General features: G+C 42.6%; 1 protein-coding gene across 12 annotated transcripts in view; it reads right to left on the reverse strand.

The window, feature by feature from the left end:
* KIF16B (kinesin family member 16B) overlaps nt 2,242-23,448 on the reverse strand; it is a 301,345-nt gene continuing 280,138 nt past the window's right edge. For all 12 annotated transcript variants that reach the window (XM_047440266.1, XM_047440264.1, NM_001199865.2 and 9 more), the window contains one exon: nt 2,242-3,549. In XM_047440266.1, the coding sequence (XP_047296222.1) occupies nt 3,391-3,549 (159 nt within the window). In that variant the 3' untranslated portion in view covers nt 2,242-3,390. The remainder of the gene's footprint in view (nt 3,550-23,448) is intronic.

Raw genomic sequence — 23,448 nt, forward strand, 5'->3', positions numbered from 1 at the left:
TGCCATCTCACTGTCCTTGTCCCTTCCAGCCCCTAGTTAATTTTGCCATGGATTTATTTTGCCTAACTTTTCTACTCCCCTTCTTTTATTTAACATGAAAAAAGAAAGACCTTTCTGATAAAGTCGGATCTGAATCACTCCTATAGGTGTGTGTCAGATTATGGAAGGAGAAGGGTCTCCTGCGGCAGAGACGTTCAACTGTCAACTGATGACACCTCAAGGCAACATTTTAATCAAGGCAACATTTTAGGCATTTATAAACGTCAGTGTACTTGAAAACCTAATGCTACTGTTTGAAGCATGTCAGGCCTGAAGCGCTATGCACATTCTCTTTGAGGGGACAAGGCAAGCCTGTGGCAGGCTCAGAGTATCAGTAAGGAGCCACATCCCCTTAGCACGTGGCTCTGCATCCCTGACTGCGCACCTGAGGAAATGGGGTCTTGTGGTTTTGTGCTGCAGGAGATGTGTCCAGAAAAAAAAAAATCTTGTCTTTAAAAGTTGAATACAGAACACCAACGTGACCCTGCACCACAGCTGCTCCCCAAGGGTGCCTCCACCTCTGAGTCTATGGCATGTTCTAGCCGTGAAAGCTTTTGGCTGCTTCTGCTCAGACTTGGACACATATGCTGTCTACAGCTCTGAGTAGATCAGGGACCAAATTGGGCAGAACTAGCTCTTTCTGCATAGAATTGTAAATAGAATCGGCCCTGGGGTGGGATACCCTGTTTGTGTATCTTCAAATCATCCCCCATTATGAGCCACAGAATCTTCTAGATGTCAGTCATTGGGGAAGCCAGCATGACTTGGTTACTCCCTATTCATATGCCAAAATTAATCACGAGGTTAAATGTGAATCTTTCTAATTCAGCAATAGCAAGGTCTGAGTGGGAACTGGGCGGAAGGTTACAATACCAGTGATATCAACAAATTTGGTGCACATATTTATCATGCAAGCAAGACCTAGGAGTGAATGTCAAAACTACTTAAATAAAAAATTGTTTAAGTTCCTTAGATTTGTCCAACCGACTGCAAAAGTATTTATGTTCATGACACTTCAATTTGAATTGCCTAAAGTGGTCAGCTTGGCGTTACTTTGTTATTTGATGACTTGGAAGTAATAAAATATCCATTTGCTAATTTTCTTTCACTCTTTTAAATTAGTCCAAATCAATGGAGTTTCCATTTGTTATCCTAATTCTGTCATCTGTCTTATCTTCACTCCAGAAAGGAATTCTGTTGTTTAGATGTGACTTTTCATTTGCTTTTCAACTTTCCCTCATGTTTTATTCAGAATCAGCTGCCTTTAAATCAGATTGGAAGTATGTACTTCACGTACACATATGAGGGACTGTAATGAGTCCGAATGACATGGTTTATTCCTCTGCTGTAACCATGAGCTGGAATGAAACTCAAGAGACCATCCAGTACCACAGCTTCATTTTCAGATGGACAGACTGAGGCCTAGAGAGGCAAAACGACTCCCATGTTATGACCGGCCTTGGCCAGAGCTTGCTAGTAGTACTCAAACTCCAAACTCAACTATAATTACTTAAGGTGAGGATTAGAATAGAAGGATCTTCTGATTTCAGCACTTCTTACAAACACATGTCTATTTATTCTTGCCAAACCTTCTGTGTGATTTTAACAAAATGCTTACCAGGAGCCTAGTCTCCAATACCGGCCTCAAAGGCCAAGAGATAGATTATCTGGTCAGTTTGAAGAGAAACCACTTAGTTTACTCAGCAAATGAGGGACCATCTTTAGGGCTTAAGACTCCTCTTAAATAAATGACCTATGGTTAATTATTATCTACCCAGCTCTTATCCCTTAATCTCTAGTTTGAAATTCTCTGGTAGTAATTGCTCCTAAACCTATTCCTGTAATCACAACTGCAGACAAAAGCAGGTCCTTCTGCAGCAAAAATGTCCTCATTTTTTTTCACACTATACTATGATATTTAATTAGTGCAATACTAGTTTTCCTCCTTATAGGGATAATTGCACGTTTATGCATATTTTTCAGGTTGGAGAACTTTGTTGTGAAGGCATTCTCTAGAAGATGGAATGCAAACATGTTCTGTTAACCATTCATTTACGACTTCAATCATTACTATCACTGCATCTTCTGCAACACAAATGCTGAGTTATACATTATGCATATTTCCAAGAACATTAGATCAATGTTTAAACAGACTAGTATGAATGATCATGTTACAGACTTAAAATAAGCTGAGCTACAGGGTAGATGCCATAACTTCATTTAATATTGATAGCAGCTCAATTTAAATTTTGAAAAAGCAAATACATTTAATAAAATTGGTGTGAATTATTACATATTTTGATGGAACTACTGTACAGAATGTATACATATATAAATCTATAGATAGAATTATATACATTTGAGTATATACCACATACATATTTTTTCCACTCACATTTTTCTCTTTAGTAAAACAAAGCAGTTTTACTGTACACAGAAGTGCAATGCTACATTAAGTCCTGAGTAATTTAAGGTATCATTAATAAACTGCTATAAATTCTAGTTTTCCAGCCAAAGATCCAATAGATTCTGTAACAAAAAATGTGAATAATACTTAAAAATATGCATTTAGCTTTGCGTTCATTTTGTGCTTAGCAGAAAAAGCTCAAGAATGCACAGTAGCCATTTAGATTTGGGAGAATGTTCTTGAATATTCAAGGTTAAATAAATATCCTAATTGTAGGGATTTATAGAAGTTTTAAGTAATGTTGTCTACATCCAATTTGTCAAGCATGGAAGACTACAGTCATGATTGGATCAAAAAATCCCTTTTGCAGAATATGAAATTCTGTGTAAACATCAGTGTTTGGGTTTTATATAAAAGTTCTGATTCAAATGAGGGAAAAAAAGAAAAAAATACAATGAAATAATTTAAAATGCTTTTCTTGGAATATAGCCAGCCACATGGAAGAAATATAAAAAATACGAGTATATTTTGGTGAAAGAGGAAACCAGATGAAAGTCATTTAAGGGTGGTCTGGTAAGCCACCCACTTTGGGAGGTCCCAGGCTGGCTGGGCTCAGGGAACCCACGATGGCCCAACCACATCTATCTTGCCACAGGGGACGAACTTTGCTGCGCAGTGAGAAGGAAGCACTGTGGGAAAAGGCCACGTTCAACCGCAATGGAACGGTAACGGCTGCCTGTCAGGGCCACATCAGCAGGCAGAGCATCCCATCCCCAAACTCAGGCACTAGGTATGGAAACGTGAGGTGGCCCGGGCCCGCTGCTGCATGTCTGTCTTCAGCAGGAGGAGGCAGACCCGGATCCTCGCATGGGGGAGCTGCCCTGCATCGGAGCCCGCTTCGACGAGAAGGCACTGCTGTGGTGGTTCCTCCATCACCCCTGGCTCTACCCCGTCCCGTGGCTGCTGTAGTCAAAGACTCCTTTCTTGAAGAATGGTGAAAACTCACAAATGGTATGTTTCGAGAGAGTCAGTCCCACTTTGTTGATGTGGAGGGGAGATGTTGCGGACTGGAGCATCACGCTGAAAAAGTCCCTGAGGTATTTCTGTGGAAGAGACAAGAGTTAAGAACATGGTCAATTGGGAGGTCAAGGCGGGTGGGATCGCTTGAGCTCAGGAGTTTGAGACCAGTCCAGGCAACATGGAGAAACCTCATCTCTACAAAAAATAAAGAAATTAGCTGGACAGGGTGGTGCACTGAGGCAGGAGGATCACTTGAGCCCAGGAGGTAGAGGCTGCAGTGAGCTGTGATGGTGCCACTGCACTCCTGCCTGGGTGATAAAGCAAGACCCTGTCTCAATCAATCAATCAATCAATCAATCAATCAATCAATCAGAATACGGTCAAGGTACTGTTGGATGGTGTCAAGAAGAGAAAAAATTTCCAGAAACAACTTCCCACCCACCTGGAAAGTGCTATCATTGTCATTAAAACCAGCACGTGAGGAATGCCCTCCACTGTCCCACCTATCATCAGACCAACCAGAGAAGACGGAGTCACAAAATACATATGCACAGAAGAAATATCTTTGGCTCAGCACTGATTCTGGGCAGCACTGTCTCAGATCTACAGCAGACAATGCCTAGGAAAATGTCAAGGGTGCCAGGCACAGGGGATCTGCCTCTCAGCCACAGTGTCACTAGTTAATCTCTTATTTAAAAAAGTCATTTCCTCCCCGCTCCCAGTTACTCATTAAATAGAAAGATGATTAAAAAAAAAAAACAAAAAAAAAAGGCCGGCCATCTGTACAAGGTTAAATGTGCTGCTTACTGGTATTTTAAAATTGCACAGTCAGTATCTGTTTTGAATCCTTCTTATAAAATAAAGGGAAAGCAATACTGAGGACAAGAGGGTCAGTTCCAAGTACTGATATTTACAGATCTTTTTGCATGTCCTATAATCATCAACAAAAAGGAATCCTTACTACAATTACTTGCTCCAGACCCCTGCTGCATGTTTGTTGCAACATTATCTGCCGTTTTTGGCACTGAGAAAGCAAAGCATATGTGAGACTAGGCTCTGGGAACTGGGGATAAAATCAGATGTGGGAGCTGGAGGGATGTGTTCAAGGAAAAGAGGGCACACAAGAATAGTTAATATATTTTAGGCCAGGCAAATCTCATCTGTAACAGAAAATGGGCTGGAGGGAAGGGGTTAGACCCAAACCTTTATTATTGTCTCAGTGTGCTTAAAAAACCCAAACAACCCTGGCACAGTCTTAGGAATTACACATAATAATTCTGGACTCTGAGTAACAACAAAAAATTTGTGAAAGCAACATGGCCTAAGCCTGGAGCAGTAGTTCCCAACAAGAGGCAGTTCTGCCCCATAGAGTGTTCAGCAGTGTTTGGTGGCAGTTTTGAGTGTCACATAGGGGTGCACAGGCAGTGCACCTGGTGGATGCTGGCCAGGGATGCCAAAGCACAGGACAAAGAATTATCTGGCCCAAATGTCGACGATGCCACAGTTGAGAAGAGAAAGTAGAATTTAGCTACCTCTATGAATTGCCAACCTGAAATTTCCTTCTGAAAGAAGACATTCTACTCAACGAGAATTTGTTAATTCTCCTTCAAAATATTAATGAGGACTACTAACAACAACACTTGTAAAATAACTTAGTTTCTAAAAATCTTCTAACATCCAATGTTTTACACTTAATGGAAGTAAAACTGGTGCATGATAAATTGTACTTTTTTTTTTTTTTTTGAGACGGAGTCTTGCTCTGTCTCCCAGGCTGCAGTGCAGTGGCGCGATCTCAGCTCACCACAACCTCTGTCTCCTGGGTTCAAGCAATTCTCCTGCCTCAGCCTCCTGAGTAGCTGGGACTACAGGCATGTGCCACCATGCCCAGCTAATTTTTTTGTATTTTTAGTAGAGACGGGGTTTCACCATGTTGGCCAGGCTGGTCTCAAATGCCTGACCTCAAATGATCCACCCCCCTTGGCCTCCCAAAGTATTGGGATTACAGGTGTGAGCCACTGCGCCCGGCCAGATAAACTGTACATTCTTTAAATGTATAACTTCATGAGTGCTGACCCATGTGAAACCACCATTAAATCAAGATAAATATTTGCATCCCCTTCAAAAGTTTCCTAAGGCACCTAACTTTATGTTATCCTTACACTTGGCCTGGAATCACATCTTCTTCTGGTATTACCCATTTCCTGGTAAGGAAGCTATTGCCAGGAGAGGTGAGCAAGGCTAGTAATCTAGAGAGAAGACTTGAAAGCAAGTATTCTCAACTCAAGATGTTTTTTCTTGTTCCATATCCCTAACTTACTGGTCTCATGGTACCCTCTCAAGAAACGATCCTGAAATTGAAATTAGGTATTGGTAAGAAGTTATGAAAATCAACTGCTGAAAAGTGAAGATCTTAATCTTAGTAATTATTTTTATCAGAGGGGCAAAGAGAGACCTGACTTCCACTTTTCTGCGGGAAGGGACCCTGAGAATATCAACTTTAAAGGGACTTGAATTGCATCAAACAGGGTCACCAGTATATATCGTAGACTACACTCAACCAGCCAATGCTCGCGGTGCAATGCATGTGCACAACTGATTGTTCTGGGAAGATCAAGGGTGAGATGATTTGGAAAACGGGAGATGCAGAGCTTGCTGACTTGTGCATGGAGCCACTGCTCTTTCACAGTTTAATGCATGATAGAGCAAGGCTCGCTGCACAGGCCTCATCTCAGGTAGCTCCTGTGGGCTCCGGCTTCAGGTCTCCCACAGGCTGCATTAACAGGCAGGCTGATGTTTACAGCAAAGCTGACTTCAAGATGAACTCTGACAGACTGGAAGGCAATTTAAATCTGGGAGCAGATGTTATATCAGCATTTGTCATAATTAGTACACAAAGTAGGGTCCCTATAAAGGGCCAATAAAGCCTAAAGGGTATAATAAGAAGAGAAGTAAAAGTTAAAAATATAAATGAAAGGAAAAGAGGAAGTATTTGAGACACCTCCCTTCAAGAGCACCACCATAAGAAGAGAACAATACAACTGTCAGGTAATGTCTTTTTCTTTAAATAAACTCATTAGTGTTGTTTGACAAAAACTCCAGATAGAATGATCTGATTTGACTAATTCTAAACATTACAGAAGAGTTTTCTCTTCGCAAAACAAATTTCTGCTTAAGGAGAATTAGGCAGCTTTCGCCTCCTTTACATAGCCTGCTTCCTTGGCGCAAAGAAATGATTTGATTAGGAAGCGTTCTTTGCAGCGACCTCAAAGTGCTCTAAAGTCTGTTAAGATGAGGCATGACCTTTGTTGGCCATGTCCAGAGCCACATGCTTCAAATGGGCTGAACAAATTCTGGCAAATGAAAAAAAAACAAGGGACTGGGGCTACAGCTGGGGACACAAGACAGAACTAGAATTCTAGAAAGTTCTTAAGGTCACAGACAGTGTCTCATTCTTCTCTGAAGCCCCCTATCATCCCTGGAACACTGCCAAGCTTAGGAAACGTGCTGAGAGGAAACCTTGCTGATTTTAATTAGTTATCTTTTTTTGAATTAAAGTATATGCACAGAAAACCACACACAAGTGTACAGTTGAATACAGTTTCACAAAGTTAATATATCTATGCCATCAGCATCTAGATATGAATTATACAACACTTCCAGCCCCCAGGCAGCCCTCCTCGTACTCCCTCCTCCGGTACAAACCTTCCCTCAAGGGCAATCGCTATTCTGATTTCTAGCACCAGAGATTCGAATTGCCAGTTTTTGAACTTCATATGAGCGGAATCATTTGGGATATACTCTTTTGTGTCTGGCTTCCATGGCTTAATGCCGTGTCTGTGAGATGCGGCCATGCTGTGCGCATAGCTGTGGTCTGTTGAGTACCAGCACTGTGCAGTACTTCACATCTGAACAAAACCACCGATTGGCTTTAACACAGGGATAAGCGTTGGTCACCGCTTTGGTCCTTTAGTCTGAACTCTTCTTCACTAATGAAATCTACTTCCCAATATTACTGGTGTCTGATGAGTCAAGTTTATCACTATCCTTCCAATAAAGAAGTTTCCTGTAGAGATTTACACTCAAATCTAAGCTTAGCCAATGTACTTGAACTCTGCTATTTTATGTACATATTATATATATATATATATATAAAATATTTAAAATATACATACTTACCTAACAACACACATTCATATTAGTAATTTTTATTGCCTGTGCTCACAATGTTTTCCACAGCATCTGTGGCTGAAGGGAGAAAATTAAAATCCCCCTGTCAAAGCTATCCCTTGTTGTTGACCCCAAAGTCACCGTAGCCCTCCCAGGATGTGAAAAATCAGTCCAGGTGTCAAGCTGCATCTCCCCAGGTCAGCACGCTTTATAAAAGAGCATTGCGAAAACTGAAGGATATTAGGAGTTTAAGTGACTTATCCAGGTCAGAAGGGCAAAGTGGGAAAAAGATTTGTGAAATCCAATATCCAATCTGTTTCTGACTTTCACAGGACATTTTCTCCATTATAAAAAGAAATAAAAGCAGGCGTATTTAAATCTCTAGCACGTCAGGGACCACAGAAGGCCTGCAGCTCTTGTTCACCTGGTGGACAGTGACACACCTGAGTCTTTGCTTTGTCAAATGTCCTGTGTCAGGGCCACTGAGAACAGCAAAAGCACCTCCTAGGGTTGCACAACATTATGGCCCTGACTTGGATAGTTGGAGGAGGAAAGTCAGATTAAACCAAATCTTCTTTCAATACGATTGCAAACCAGAAATAAGATGGGATGGCGGAGCCAAAGGGGGCCTAGGAGAGGGTCTGTCTGACAGTGAGTGATCATGGGAAAGAGAAGAGGCCGAGAGAGACAGGGGGCCACAGAGAGACAGAGGGGGCTGTCTAGGGGAGGACAAGAGAAACAGGGCTGGGATGGAGGGGAAGACAAAAGAGGTGGAAATGAAAAGGAAACCAAACCAGCACAACAACGTTGGAGACGGGTACCCATGATTTATTTGTTTACCAAGCTGGCAAAAAGAATTTAAGAATAATAAGAAATATATCAGATATCTATCTAGGTTATTTACTTTTTGTGACTTGGACCAATACTGATGTAGGTGTTTTCTTATCAATACTTTCAGAAAATCAAATTTAGATGGCTAATCTTTACGGTATATTTCAGTGCTGACATAGAGTACCTCGATTTCATGAATTGCCTTTCTTCTATAGGTTTTGGGCATATTTTGTTGCTCAGGGGCAGTGAGCAGGGGTTACAGGTAACTGGGAGACATGGACCCCCATGGGTCTGTTCCAAAGAAAGTGTGACCCTGGCACATGATGTTTAAAATCTCCCCAAAACAAACAAACACAAAATCCTGTACAGGACTATGAGCTTTTAAAGTGGAGGCCAGAAGACACGAGCAGAAGAAGGGGGGATGTGGTGATATGAGAGACACCCTAGACTCAGGCTCCTGCCTGCTACCCACAGCACCCGCCATCCCCTGCTTCTCAGTCAGGTCCCCTCTGCTGAGCCACACGGTCTCTCACCGGGCAAGTCTGTCTACACCGGGCATCTTAGCTGCTTGGGTCAGATGCACTGCCTTTCCTAGGCCTGATGGTGCTTTCGTGGGGACCAGCAGGCACTGGTTCTTCAGAGTTAAAAGTTCTTTACAAACACGGGGAAGGTCCTGTTTCTCTGCAAGGCTCACGCTCTTCTACAGGGAGCCAAGGCAGCTCAGGGAATGCTTCGGTATCTCCCTTACAGTGCCTTGGTGGGCACTGGCCATTCTCTGACTGCCCTGTACCCATTTCCCTTCCCAAACAGCAGCCCAATCCCCTTCTGAAGAAACACCTTTCCCCTCTCTGGGAATTGGTTAACTGGTTGACTTAAGGCATAGGACAGATAAGCTTTTCCCATGATATTCTGGGTGGACACCTTACAGCCAAAGAGCTAATCAAGCTACTAGCGCTTGGAGTCTCCTGGAACCAAGGGTCCTTTGGGGGACACCTCTTCCAGATTGTGTAGCTGCTGTTATGGAGCATTTTCAAGAGTTTGAGAAATTCAGGAAAGCTGGGCAGTTTCAGGAGAGCCTTTGGTCTCTGTCCATTCCCAAGGCTAGGAGCGAATGATTCCATCTGTTTACTGTGGTGACAGTCATTTTCTACTGTTTACCATCAAGTTAACTAACAATAATCTCACAGCGCTGGCAGGGGGCAGACAAGGGTCAGGAATCAGAAGAAACCTTCCTTGTAGAACACAATCAAGCTCCTCCAGGGCTAGTCTATGCTAAGATGGAGGTATCTGCCTATCACGCTCTTCTCTTAGGAAAAGGTCGATCCTAGGAGGCTCTGGAGAATCACATTTCAGATAGGTCAGAGTATCCCGGTGGTCCATCCACAGCTAGGCCTGAAGCTGGAAGGCTCCTGCCCCAGACCCTGATCTACACATAGCCCAATCTTTAAATTTCCAATGCCATTTCAAAAGACAACTACTAAACACTATCAATCTTTTGAACCAAAACACAGGCTAATATGGTCTACTGGCTGTGTTAATAAGTTGTGAAAGGCAAAATGAACTCCCTACAGCAATACAGAGTAATTCAGCAAGAATTTAGTCCATTATATTAGAGCTTTAGCATGGCACCTCAATTAGTTTATGCATCAGGAAAAAAAATTGAAAATATAATTTGCTGCTACATGCTATTCCATTTAGACATTCTTGAAGGTCATTATATTACTATGATTCATGTGTGACCTACAATACAATTTCAGTCTGAGCTCTGCCTGAAAGGAAACATGCTTTGGAGTTACTGGAAAAATGTGGGCAAAATCTGGCCTTTAGGCAGCTTCTTTTGGGTTTTTCTTTTGAACTGTAAATCTTTTGGGTGAAATGCTGGTTTGCTCACAGGAACTAACCATGGATTTCATAGTCCATCCTGGCAAAAACCTGTGAAGTCAACAAGGAGCTGCATGGTGTGGCTTCCCCCCTCTCTTACACCCATTCCCTTTTAGGTCTGTGACCTTGAAAGAAAGGACAATTTTAGACCAGGGGATGGAGGGAAGGAGGGGTGGTGTCCAAGTTCAGCTAACAGTCTGAGCAAGAGAGCAAGGCCAAGGCCAGCCTGTGCAAGGATCTGGGTGGGAAACAGCAGGATGTGAAGCAGAATGCAGAGGGCCTTGAATATGGATTCAGCCTGCAGGTACTTCGTACAAAGTTTCCGGTTCATGAGCTTATGTGAGCCCCTAAGACACCCTTAGGAGAGGGACAAGAATGGATGTCCTTTGTTTACAGAGGAAGTAACTGAGATTCCAAGGGGCAGTGACTTGGCTAAGGTCAACAGGTCATAAGAGGCTGACAAAGTGACCAGCTCTTCAAATGTAGGAGAAAGCCATTATTGCCTAATTTAATCCCGAAGGTTCAAGCCCGTAAGCCTGAAATGTAACATGGCCTTTCTTTGGGGCTGTCCATACTATGCACATGCAGCCTCCCAGAATTTTCCCTGAATTTCAGTCAACTGCTGCGCGCGCACGTGTGTGTGTGTGTGTGTGTGTGTGTGCGCAGAAAATGCAAGCATGAGAATTTGGGCCTTCAGATGCCTTTGAAAGACCTAAGCCTCCTTATCTGCTGGCTCTCTGCCTTCTATTTTAATTATCAGGGAGATAAAATTGTGACCATTTTATGTTATTAAAAAGTTTCTGTTTTAATAGGGCTCATGACTATAACTGCAGCCTACTGCTTATTTCATGTGCAATATATCACCTCATCCATATCATTCTAATGATTTTTCCGGCCATCTCATTGTTGTGAGGTCCTCTTTATTTTACAAAATTTTAACATAAATCTATAATTTAATTTAAAGTTACTGAAATTACTAAAATTGAAATGTTCTTTAAAAATATAATGGAACTTTATCCACCTTTCCATAGTGACATATTAACAGAGAAAGGAGTTCAGTGGCATTCCTCATTCTCAGAAGTCATTAACCACGGTGGCGGCTTAAAGACAAGTATCAGTCTAGTAAGACTTAGAGGTCTCATTTAACTCGCAGTACTTGGAAAATGCATCATCCACTGATGGGCCCTGAAGATGGATCAGGCCTGAATGGAGCTACTCAGGGATGTTTCTAGACCTGAAAGAGTTCAGGTCACCCCTGGCTATGTATCACGCATCGACCCAGTGTGGTCAATATGATCCATCCAGTCAAGTCTTCCCAATTCTAAACTCCCATAAATTCAAGTCTAAATACCTCTTGTTGGCTTTTTAGGAATCCTAAAGTTTGGCTACACTGGGTCAAATAGGCTGGGTTCCCTTTCCAACATGCTCCCAAATGTGCTCCACACTCCAAGGAAATCAGGACAGCTTGGTTTGGGTAACTCATCCATCCAGCGCAGTCACTGCACACGTGTTCTCCAAGAAGCAGTAAGCCAGGCCTGGGTATTGAGCTGAATGAAACAGACACGGTGCCTCCCCTCCTCCCCTCACAGGTGCATGCTGGCTGGCACCATCCTCCACTGCTCAGAGTCTCTCCTTGTTCCCATGGGTGCTTTGCTCCCATCATCTAGATCCTTCTCATCTTCCAAGGACTGGTTCAAGGTGTGCTGTGTACTGACTCCCTTCTCTTCAGACTTCATTCATGCACCCAATAAGTACTTACTGAAAGCTTTCTACACACCAGTGTTGGGCTAGGTGCTGGGCATTCTTTTTTTTCTTTTTCTGTTTCTTTTTTTTTTTTTTTTTGAGACAGAGTCTCACTCTGTCACTCAGGCTGGAGTGCAGTGGCATGATCTCAGCTCACTGCAACCTCCGCCTCCCAGGTTCAAGCAATCCTCCTGCCTCGGCCTCCTGAGTAGCTGGGACTAAAGGCATGTGCCACCATGCCTGGCTAATTTTTGTATTTTTTAGTAGAGATGGGGTTTCACCATGCTGGTCAGGCTGGCCTCGAACCCCTGACCTCAGCTGATATGCCCGCCTCAGCCTCCCAAAGTGCTGGGATTACAGGCATGAGCCATCGCGCCTGACGGTGCTGGGCATTCAACAGCTAATACTACTCAGTTCTTGTGCCAAGTAACACAGTCCTGCCTGCCTGGGAGACAAATAGGTAAAGGAGTAATTACAATTAAAATATGACTATGAGAGAACTGCAATGAGGTGACTTGGGACCCCAGGGGAAAGGAAAGGCTGTATGCCTAGTCCTGGGAATTGGTTACTTTTATGCCAAGACCCATAGGGTGATGAGAATCAAGCAGGTGAAGACATTGGAGAAAGATACTGGAGGAAGCCTGTTCTGGGCAGAGCAGGAAGCAGGTACCAAGCCTAGCAGCTGGGAGGCAGGGCTTTGGGGCATCACCAATTGTCTAGCGTGACTAGACCAGGCCCACAGGCACAGAGCATTCAGCAGATAGGACAGACTCCTGGGAACAGGACTGCTCCTGGACCTGGGCTCTGCCAGTCCCCATGCTGGGGGCCCTACACAGTTGGGTGGTGGCACTGTGCGCTGGTGGTGGTATCTCTTCTCTATGGTGAAGTCCTGCCAGGCCTTCAGGAAGTCTCTTCCAGCTGCCATACACAATCGTTGGTCAAATGATGCTTATGATGCCAGAGGACTTTCACGAGTCTCCAAATGTTAATCCCCAACTTCTACTGAAGTCTACCACTTGCCCGAAGGTACTTGAAACCACCATAAAACGTCATTGGAACCTCCAGTGTGAGACTTTCATTGTGTTCATTGCAGCAAGTTTGGTGTGCCGACACTTGCATACCTTTTCCCAGCCTCTGTCAGTCTAACTCAGGGCAGGGCAAGCTTTTTCTATAAAAGGATGGATGGTATACTTTGGGCTTTGTAGGCAAAGAGGCGAAATTAAGGATATTATGTAGGTGTTTATGTAATAAGAGAGAAAATTCCGGCTCCACCCCATCCTGTTTTCCTGGGGTGGGCTACCCAGGGTGGAAGGCGCATTTTGCACCCAGTGCTGGGCAGGCCACTGTCATGGTCAGTTTCACGCTCTGCCTGGTGGTGCCAATCCTAGTGTGCCTCCCTCTTTGCACAGAGCCTGGCAATCTCAACTGGGGCAGCTGACCAGAGGCAAGACAACTTCCCAGACTGAGACTCTACTGCTTGGTGACTGGCAGTTGCCAACAAGTCCCCAGTGTGTAGGCGGTGACCAGCACAGGCCCTGGGGAGCAGCGAGCCGTGGCTGCCAGCTGAGTGCCAGGAAAACAGGCAGTGAGCCCGCCAGGTCTCCATGGATCACAGGTCTAGCAAATTCAGGCCATGCTCACAGACAGTATGAAAACAGGTGGCAAGGTGGGTGTGACCTGAGGGCCTATATCAGTTTTCTACAGCTGCACAACAAATTACCACAAACGTTGTGGCTGGAAGCAACACCTATTCATTAGCTCATGGTTCTGTGGGTCAGAAGTCCTGCCACAGTGCAGGTAGCCTCTGCTTATGGTCTCATGGGTTGAAACGAAGGTGTTAAAAAGGCTGGGCTCCTATCTGGAAGCCCTGGGGAAGAACCACTTCCAAACTCCTTCAGGTTGTTGGCCAAATACGGCATTCTGTAATCACAGGACTGGGGTCCTGCCTGAGGTTCCCTTGCTGACTCTCAGCAAGGGGCTGCTCTCAGTTCCTAAAGACCACCTACATTCAGTGGCACCCAGCCTCCACCACATTTGAAGCCAGCCATCAGATTCCCTTCACGCTTCTGCGAAAGTTGTAAGATTCCAAAGACAGTAACTTGTGTCAAACCCTGGCAAGCGGAGCTGGGGAAGGCCATGAAGAGAGGGCTCGCATGCTTGATCTGCCTGATCACGGGAACTATCACAAGACATGAGTCACACCAGGACAGCCACTGGGACAAGAACAGCTAGCTAATTACACAGGAACACCTGCCTGGCACACTGTTTTGCAAGCCAATCTAAAACTGTAAGGACCTAATTGTACCTCCAAGATTACAGGTCCTACCTGGCAACTACTGATACTTGCCACTCAGAACTTGCCAGCCCTTGCAAGCTGCCACCAGCACCATAAGCTTTCTTTCAAAACAACTTGCAAACCCTTCTCCTTCCCCAGTAAGCCTCAACCTTTTACTTTTTTTCCTGGACGTTGCCAGAGGCCACCCTGGTCTGCATGTATGTCCCGGATTGCAATCCTCTCTCTTGCATATTATCCCAAATGAAACAATTTTTACTTTCACTCTCTCTTTTTTCACACTGACACTTCAAATCTCCGCTTCCTCTTCTGTTACCAGGCAGAAAAACTCTGCTTTTATGGGGCTCACATGATTAGATTAAGCACACAGGGACACTCTCCCTTTCGCCATGTCGTGTAGCACAATCACAGTTCCTCACGAGCTCAAAGAGGGGAGGATTACAACGGCACCGGGGGGTCATTCTTAGAATTCTCCCTACTACAGAACTGTAGTTTGCCAATCCCTGGTCTAAACTGTAACCCAGAATATAATAAAACATATGGCAGAAAAACAGGCCACAGCACAGTAGATGCCACCTGGCAGAGAACACACCAACTCAAGAGGGACCACGCATGCACACTGGCTGGGAACACCCACGGTCCAGGCCTGAGACTCAGGGTGAGCACGCGCCCTCCCACCTCCCGCACTCACACCCACAGGCTTGTGCTGTGCCCAGTACGAAGCATCCCAGAGCAGCACCATCTTCTGGAGCTTTCTGAGAGGACGGAAGTGTCTGTTATCTGTGCTGTCCATTATGCTAGCCATGTGGCTACTGAGCACTTAAAATGTGGCTGGTGAGACTGAGAAACTAAATTTTTAAAATTTTACCTTGATTTTACCTTAATCTTCATCTTACTTTAAAATTAAATAGCAACATGTGACTGGTGGCTACTGTACTGGATAGCACAGTTCTACACTAAGATTCTGGAGTAACCATGCCTTCAAATGTGTGAGTTCTGAGCATAGAGTATGCATTAATATTCCTGTTTTTAAAATTTATTTTTAAAATGTGTAATACTTTACTGACTGAAAATGCCATACACACAGATATTTATGAGTTGAAAGGGAACTTTTCATTGTTTGTACATGCATGTGTACATGTCTTCGCTACAATGAAAAGGATTCCTTCCAATTCACCTGTGTTTTCCCAAATCTCCAGTGCATCCAAAAAAATTTATTGTTATTAGTTTTTTTGCGTATCTTTCTATGGCATTTTAATGCCTACATAAACAAGTACAAATATAGACACCCAGCCAGGTGCAGTGGCTCACATCTCTAATCCCAGCACTTTGGGAGGCTGAGGTAGGTGGATCACTTGAGACCAGGAGTTTCAGACCAGCCTGGGCAACATGCTGAAATCTTGTCTCTACAAAAAATACAAAAATATTAACCAGATGTGGTGGTGCACCTGTAGTTCCAGCTACTTGGAAGGCTGAGGTGGGAGGATCACCTGAGTCCAGTAGGTTGAGGCTGCAGTTGAGCCATGATCATGCCACTGCACTCCAGTCTGGGTGAGAGTGAGACCCTGTCTCAAAAAAACAAAACAAAACAAACAAAAAGCACCAAACCCCCAAACCCCACAAACACAGATGCCTCCATTTCAACTTACACAAGCAGGTACATAAGCAACATACTCTTCTGCACCTCACTTTGTTCACTTAACAACTTACACTAAAGACCTCTCCAGAAGTACATAGTTTCTCATTCTGAAATTGGTTGTACTAGCTCATTATTAATGAACACGTAGGCTGTTCTAATCCTTTGCAGTCCTGCAAGTAGGTAAACTATACATGGTCGATAATTTTTCACTACTTTAGTCGAATGATGTATCCCCAGAACTTAACACAGTGTCTCGTACACAGTAGGTACTCAGTCAATATTTGTTGAATGAAATAATGAAGAATGAAGATTATTACAAATAGCACTGTAATAAACAATCTTATATACAAGCAAGTGTATCACTTTACCCATAGGGTAAATTCCTAAAATGGAATTGCTGGGTCGAAGGGTATGTGCCTTTTAAATTTTGATAGATATTGCCAAATTGTTTTCCGTGGGCACTGTACAATTTATACTCTCTCCAGCAGTGTTGGAGAGTAGACATCCAACATTTCCGTCTGAGTACTCCAGAGTCTGAAAAAATCTTTGAAAGGTAACCTAGTCCTTTCTCTTATCCTCATAAAATCACAATGTTGTTGTAGCTGAGGAATCTTAGCTAGATCCTTTGAACTACAGCTGAGAGAGGTTGGATTAGAATTCTAGTATCCTTAAACATCGTCATCTTTCTCCTATACTTATTCATCTCTCTGGGCAGAATCATATCACAATTGAGATTCCTAATGTCCAGAATTCCCAGAATCATTTAAAAATAACCTTAGTCTAAGAGTGGAATCCATTTCTGCCCAATACAAACTTCCAACTAACCAGTACAAGGTCAAGCAGAGGTGAAGATGGTCATAAACAGGCAGCTGGCTGGGACAGTGGTACGTGTGATATTTGCTGTACTGGTGGCCCCAATGAACCACATCATGCTTCGTGGGATTCACACCCTGTGTGGCTCTCTTCGTTAAACCTAGGTGGGGTTTGTGACTTGTTTTAGCCAATAGAATGCACTGGCACTAATGCCATGGGTGACTTGAGAGCCCCAGCTGAGCCTAGTCCTTAGTGGAGTCATGATCAAAATGCAGGCCCATAAGTGGCGTGTCTTGATACCACCTGGAGTATATAAACCATCCAGCTGGGCCCTGCCCAAATTTTCCAGAACCAAATAATGATAAGCAATAAAATGGTGGTTGTTTTTAAGGTGCCAAGTTTTAGGGCAGTTCATTATACAATGATAGATAACCAAAATATATGGGTTTGGGAATAAGGTAAAATATGAGGGAATAAATGAAATTAGTCAAAGCAGAATGAAAAAAGTTTCTTTGGTTTCTATTTATAATTTATGACTAAACATAAATTAAAGTCCAATTCTACTTCATGCCAATCTCTCTTCCAATTCTTTTAATATTTCTAATGAATAATTCTTAGCAGGTATTTCTTTGCTATGAGCTACTTTTGCTATACTAAGTTTTAAAGTAAATACTTGAAATATGGCATTTATTTCTTGATGTTATAGAGAAGTCTGAGAGCTCCAAGTTAAAATTCATCAGGGTGAAAATGTTAGTCTGTGATTACAGAATCAGAACTATTCATTACGGCTATTCAGAGAATCTTCTTTATGAGTTTAATGACATAAGCATATTATACTGAATTATTATGGTACTGCATCAACTGGATTCATAAATTTAATATACTCAGTCTGGTTCACATATTCTAATAAAATCCAGCAAGCTTTAAAACTTTTATAGGAAATGTGCATTTAAAATCCATGTGATATTCAGTTTTTACAGGGTGACGTCCTTGCTCAGGGTATTAAGTAGTTTCAGTGATGACGATGACCCAGCCTGGCAGCAAGCTTCTGGGGAAACCTCACAAATAGACAATCCATATCAGAAAAACCAAAACCTGCTTTTCTCCAGAGCACAAGTCAAAACCATGGGGTGGAGGCGGGTGGAAAGAGAAGAATTGAGTTTATCTTGCACCTGTGGACCAGAAGTGAGGACATGTAAGGAAGGAGGCAAACAGCTTCCACATAATCTGACAGGTGCCACTCAACCTCACTTGGTTGAAGCAGAAAGTGGGAGGATGCTGGGCAAGGAGCCCAGTTCCCAGTACTCACTATGGATCTTTGACCTACTGATACGTTTGAATCTACATAAATGTTTGGCAACAAGCTCAATATAGATGCCATTAGGACTCAACTTCTTCAGCACTGGAAGAAGCCTAGGAGAGCCCTGGAGGCACACTATGGCTGTTTGAGCTCTAATGCAGCACCATGAGCAGGGATCCTAGGCACTCAGTCTTATGCAGCTACCATGCTGGGCACAAAGACATCAAAGCACTGTGGTTTGAAGTAAGCCCCTTAACTCCTCTGTACCTCAGTTTCCTCCTTGTCTGATTATAGTATTTTCTTTTTAGGATTAGAAGATTAAAGGAGCTATTGTCTACAAAATGCTTAGGACAGGGTCCAATTTAGAGAACCTTAGTAAGTACAGATGTATGGTATGTACCTCAGTAAGTACAGTATGTACTGGTGATAAGGTTATTGGGATCCCATCATAAGTGGAAGAGCATCTGTATGGTATGTACCTTAGTAAACACAGTATGTACTGGTGATAAGGTTACTGGGATCCCATCATAAGTGGAAGAGCATCTGTATGGTATGTACCTTAGTAAACACAGTATGTACTGGTGATAAGGTTACTGGGATCCCATCATAAGTGGAAGAGCATCTGTATGGTATGTACCTTAGTAAACACAGTATGTACTGATGATAAGGTTATTGGGATCCCATCATAAGTGGAAGAGCATCTGTATGGTATGTACCTTAGTAAACACAGTATGTACTGATGATAAGGTTATTGGGATCCCATCATAAGTGGAACAGCATCTGTATAGTATGTACCTTAGTAAACACAGTATGTACTGGTGATAAGGTTATTGGGATCCCATCATAAGTGGAAGAGCATCTGTATGGTATGTACCTTAGTAAACACAGTACGTACTGGCGATGGGTTTATTGGGATCCCATCATAAGTGGAGGAGTATCTGTTCTTAGTAAGTACATACTGCAGAGATGCTCCTCCACTTATGATGGGATCCCAATAAACCCACGGCCAGTTGAAAATACTCTAAGTCGAAAGTGCATTTAATACACCTAACCTACCAAACATCATGGCTTAGCCTAGTCCACCTTAAATGTGCTCAGAACACTTACATTAGCCTACAGGTGGGCAAAATCATCTAACAAAAAGTCTAGTTAGTGTTGAACATCTTATGTAGTTTATTGAATACTGTGCTAAAAGTGAAAAACAGAATGGCTGTATGAGCAGTCAAAGTACGGTTTCTACTGAATGTGTATCGCTTTTACACCATCGTAAAGTTGAAAAATCTTAAGTAGAACCATCATCAAGTTGGGGACCACCCAGAGTTGATACTGTCTATATAACTTTGTCCTCAGGGAATTGATATGCAAATATGTTAATTTTCCCCTCTTTTAAATGTTTGGAAACACATGGGCTTAAAATGTGGAAGTGTTTAATGTTTTCTCCTTCAAAGGAAAGTAAAAGCAAGAATTTGAAATGGCTTTTTTCCAAATCACCTCATATCAGATACTGGCAGACCCTTTAAAATCACCTCATATTAGATAGATACTGGCAGACCCTTTATTTAAAGAGTTGTGTTAAGGCCGGGCGCGGTGGCTCACGCCTGTAATCCCAGCACTTTGGTAGGCCGAGGCGGACGGATCACGAGGTCAGGAGATCAAGACCACGGTGAAACCCCGTCTCTACTAAAAATACAAAAAATTAGCCGGGCGCAGTGGCGGGCGCCTGTACTCCCAGCTACTCGGGAGGCTGAGGCAGGAGAATGGAGTGAACCCAGGAGGCGGAGGCTGCAGTGAGCCGAGATTGAGCCACTGCACTCCAACCTGGGTGACAGAGCCAGACTCCGTCTCAAAAACAAACAAAGAAAAGAGTTGTGTTAAAACAAAGAAGAGTAAACATGTTTCAAAATGGAAAATCACATTTAAAAATAAACTGAAAATCTAACCCATGTCAGGTAAATTGATTCTAATTGATTCTCCCCCATATCTTGTTTTAAGATACATTTTAGATGCTCTGATTCTCAAAAGTGCCATTTGGAAAACAAAAAAGATGTATTATTTTCTTTGTTTTTAAGCTCATGGTTCCTTCCTTCACTGTATAAACCTTCAGAGATTCCTGGCATTTGGAGATATAATGACTGCTCCAAACGACCAATTTGTCTGACAAAGGCTTTCAAATGAGAATCTTGCTGTGTGGTACCTCTTGGCTATAATGTACTTGAATTCAAATTCAAAGAATCAGGACCTAAAAGACTCGGCCATCGAGGAGTAGTTGTACATTATTTGATGGCATCACAAAGTCTCCCCTTCAGGGGAACTCCACAACTGGATGCATCGAGAACACTCAATGACTCTATCGTGTGCCTCTGCAGCTGTGGCTGAACAGAATGAGCTATGCCTCTAATATGTCACCTAAGGTAGTTTGTGTACTGAGGGCAAATCTCCTTCGGTTAAAATTCAGCTGGCCTTGGCGGGCTGTCTGAATAATACTGAGTCTCTGAATTCAGGGCAAGAGGGTAAGCTTTTGAGATACCAGGAGAGATAACCTGCTGCCTGTGTTTTGTTCTCTGGACGAGGGGTGCCTGATGCTCCTGTGAGACTGTTTGCCTTGGAGATTACCCTCCTGCCTTGGGAGCTCTTCCTGAGTGTCCAGAAACTGCCCTGTGTCCCTTGGGGGAGTCAGGGTCAAGCCCTAGGTGTGATGAGGACTGTGGCCCCGAGTGGTGGGCCCTGACCCCACCCCATGAAGAAGATTAGCTAGGGATTTGAATTATTTGCACCAATGATCCCCTTCACTGGAGACAATGACTGAGGCCTGAATATGTCAGGGAAGAGGGAGGTAGGGAGAAAAGCCAGATCAAAACTTCTCAAATGCCAACATCTCTAACTCCAAAAAAGAATGGGGTAGGTGTCTATTTCATACAGGGAAATGCAAATTAAAAAGTTCCTTTTTCAAACAGATATTACCTACCAAATTAAGAAACTAAGTTTTAGAAATTGGGCTAGGAGCTAAAAAAGAAAAAGAAAAAGAAACCAAAAGTATATACATTGAATACATGTACATCCAGCACAGTACTTTGCTTGTAAAATAGTCGTTGAACAAATGATGCAATGAATAGCTATAGGCAATGCTGATAGGCCTCGATAAACAATGAGAAGCATGGGTTTTCTTTCCCTAGGACCTTAATTCGAAAAATTTCATAGGTTTACAATATCTTCTTTCTTCTGTGTAAGGGAAGTTTGTTAAATTACTCTAGAGAAGAAAGTCTATCAAATCTTAATTTGTGCTTCAAAGCCACACTCTAGAAACTCTTAAAAGTATCCTGGTCATCTCGTTACTTAAGGTCTGAGAAGTTGCTGTAGACAAAAAATGAAGAATGGTGTTGATTAGGCAGCTGATTAAACATGCGCTTCCTTGGACACATGTGTCTGGCTGTGTTAAACACCAAATGAGCCTGAAAACTATGTAAGCATCAGTCTTTCAGTCATCAAAACTTTTAGGACGAGTGACTTTTTTTAGCTGCAATGCTGCAATAGGACACAGGAGTTAAAACAAAGTACTGGCAAAACCTGGATAGAAAGATGCCCCTGATCAAAGGGAAATCTCGTCATCTAGGGGATCCTGAAGGAAGCTATGTGGCCATATAGTCTAAAAAATACTGGGCTAATTGAGAATAAGTTGACACCCAGTTTCTGCCACAAGGACATTGCCTTTCAAAGTAAGAAATGTCAGTATGTATTGACTAAGCTATTACTTAAATATGCCCAGATTCCTCCAAATAAGTAAACTGCATATAAATACAATTTTGTGAACTGGAAGATAAGCACTATAAGGATGAGGAAAGGTGAACATATACTAAGTAGCATAAATACCGCACACCCTGGAGATATTAAGGGCAGAAGCAGACTTCCTGTTGCTCACAGCATTTATTCAGAGAGCTCTGAAATACAAGCCCCGGGGTCTACTGGGGCTGTGTTTCCAGCTAGCTAAAGAAAAATCCACTGAGAAAAAGGCAATGGCTTCATTTTCTACCTTTTTCAACTTTGATTACCAAATGATTTCTTGATTCCAACATGAGTTTAATTTTACTTATAAATAATATGAAGCAGGTGATCTCAATTAGAAAGCAGATTAGGCAAAGTCTTACCTTTTTTTAAAAAAATGTTTTTGGTTGCCTGGAATGAAAAGTATATATGTAAATGTAAATGCATTGCAGGGGATTGCTGGTAACAAAAATAAGTATATCTAAAAATGGATGGTAGCTTTACATGGGCAAACGATAAAGGTAAAAAGTTGTGTGGAATTGGAACAAACTGATGTTCTCATCCATTCCCCCTCTAAATACTGTCTCAAAGGATTGCACCATATGCTGTGATTCATTAACATTATGAAACATAACTGACACATATAGAAGAAAAAAGTGTTGTCAGGGGAAAAAATAGCTAGCTGAATTCTAAAATAAAGATGCAGTTTACACGGGCAACAAAAGACAGCATGAGGTTCACTCGCAAAGACCACAGTGAGCACCTTTTATCTGAAAAAAAGCACAAGGTATTTGGAAAACAAGTCTGAAAAAGAGGGAGTTAGGGGAATTGATGCATTTGCAAGAAAGCCTACTGCAAAGTGGGCAAGGCTTCATGAAAGAGGAAGGATGATTCCTGAATGTTGATACAAACAATGAGCAGAGAACTTAGTGGGCATGAGACAGACAGTGGTTCTTAAAATACATGGATGTGCAAGAAGAATTTTAAACACGTCTTTTAGGCTGTTGCAACAAAGGGACTGAATGGAGAGCAACTAAACTGACATCAATGGAAATAAATAAAATTGACTATTTCAGGAAGCAAGAAGTTAGGCCTTCAGGTTGATAACAGTACTAAAAGATGCAAAAGTAGCAAATGCAATGTTAAAACAAGCAAAGAAAGAATCAGGTGGACCACATAGTGCAGTGCTTCTCAAATAATATGCAGAAGGGAATCAGTTGTTTGATTGACAGAGATAGACGAGACAGAAAGACAAAGCAAGACAACGACAGAGATAGAAAATACAGGAGACAGAAAAATGAAAGGACCAGACCACGAGGTTCAACACTGAACAAATGGAATTCCAGAAACAACAGGAAAAACAACAACAACAAAACCTTAAGAAAGGAAATCATTAAGGCAATTTCCCAGAAATGAAGGATATGGCAGAAATCGATAGAACCCATGGGTCAGAAGAATCGACGAACTGTTTACCAGAGTAGAGTTCTATAGGTTCAGAACATTGAGAACAGAGAGAAGGCCCTATAAAGGCTGCTCTATGGGTTTTTGGTAGGGGA

Source organism: Homo sapiens, chromosome 20 (assembly GCF_000001405.40).
Source record: "Homo sapiens chromosome 20, GRCh38.p14 Primary Assembly".
NCBI classification, from domain to species: Eukaryota; Metazoa; Chordata; class Mammalia; order Primates; family Hominidae; genus Homo; species Homo sapiens.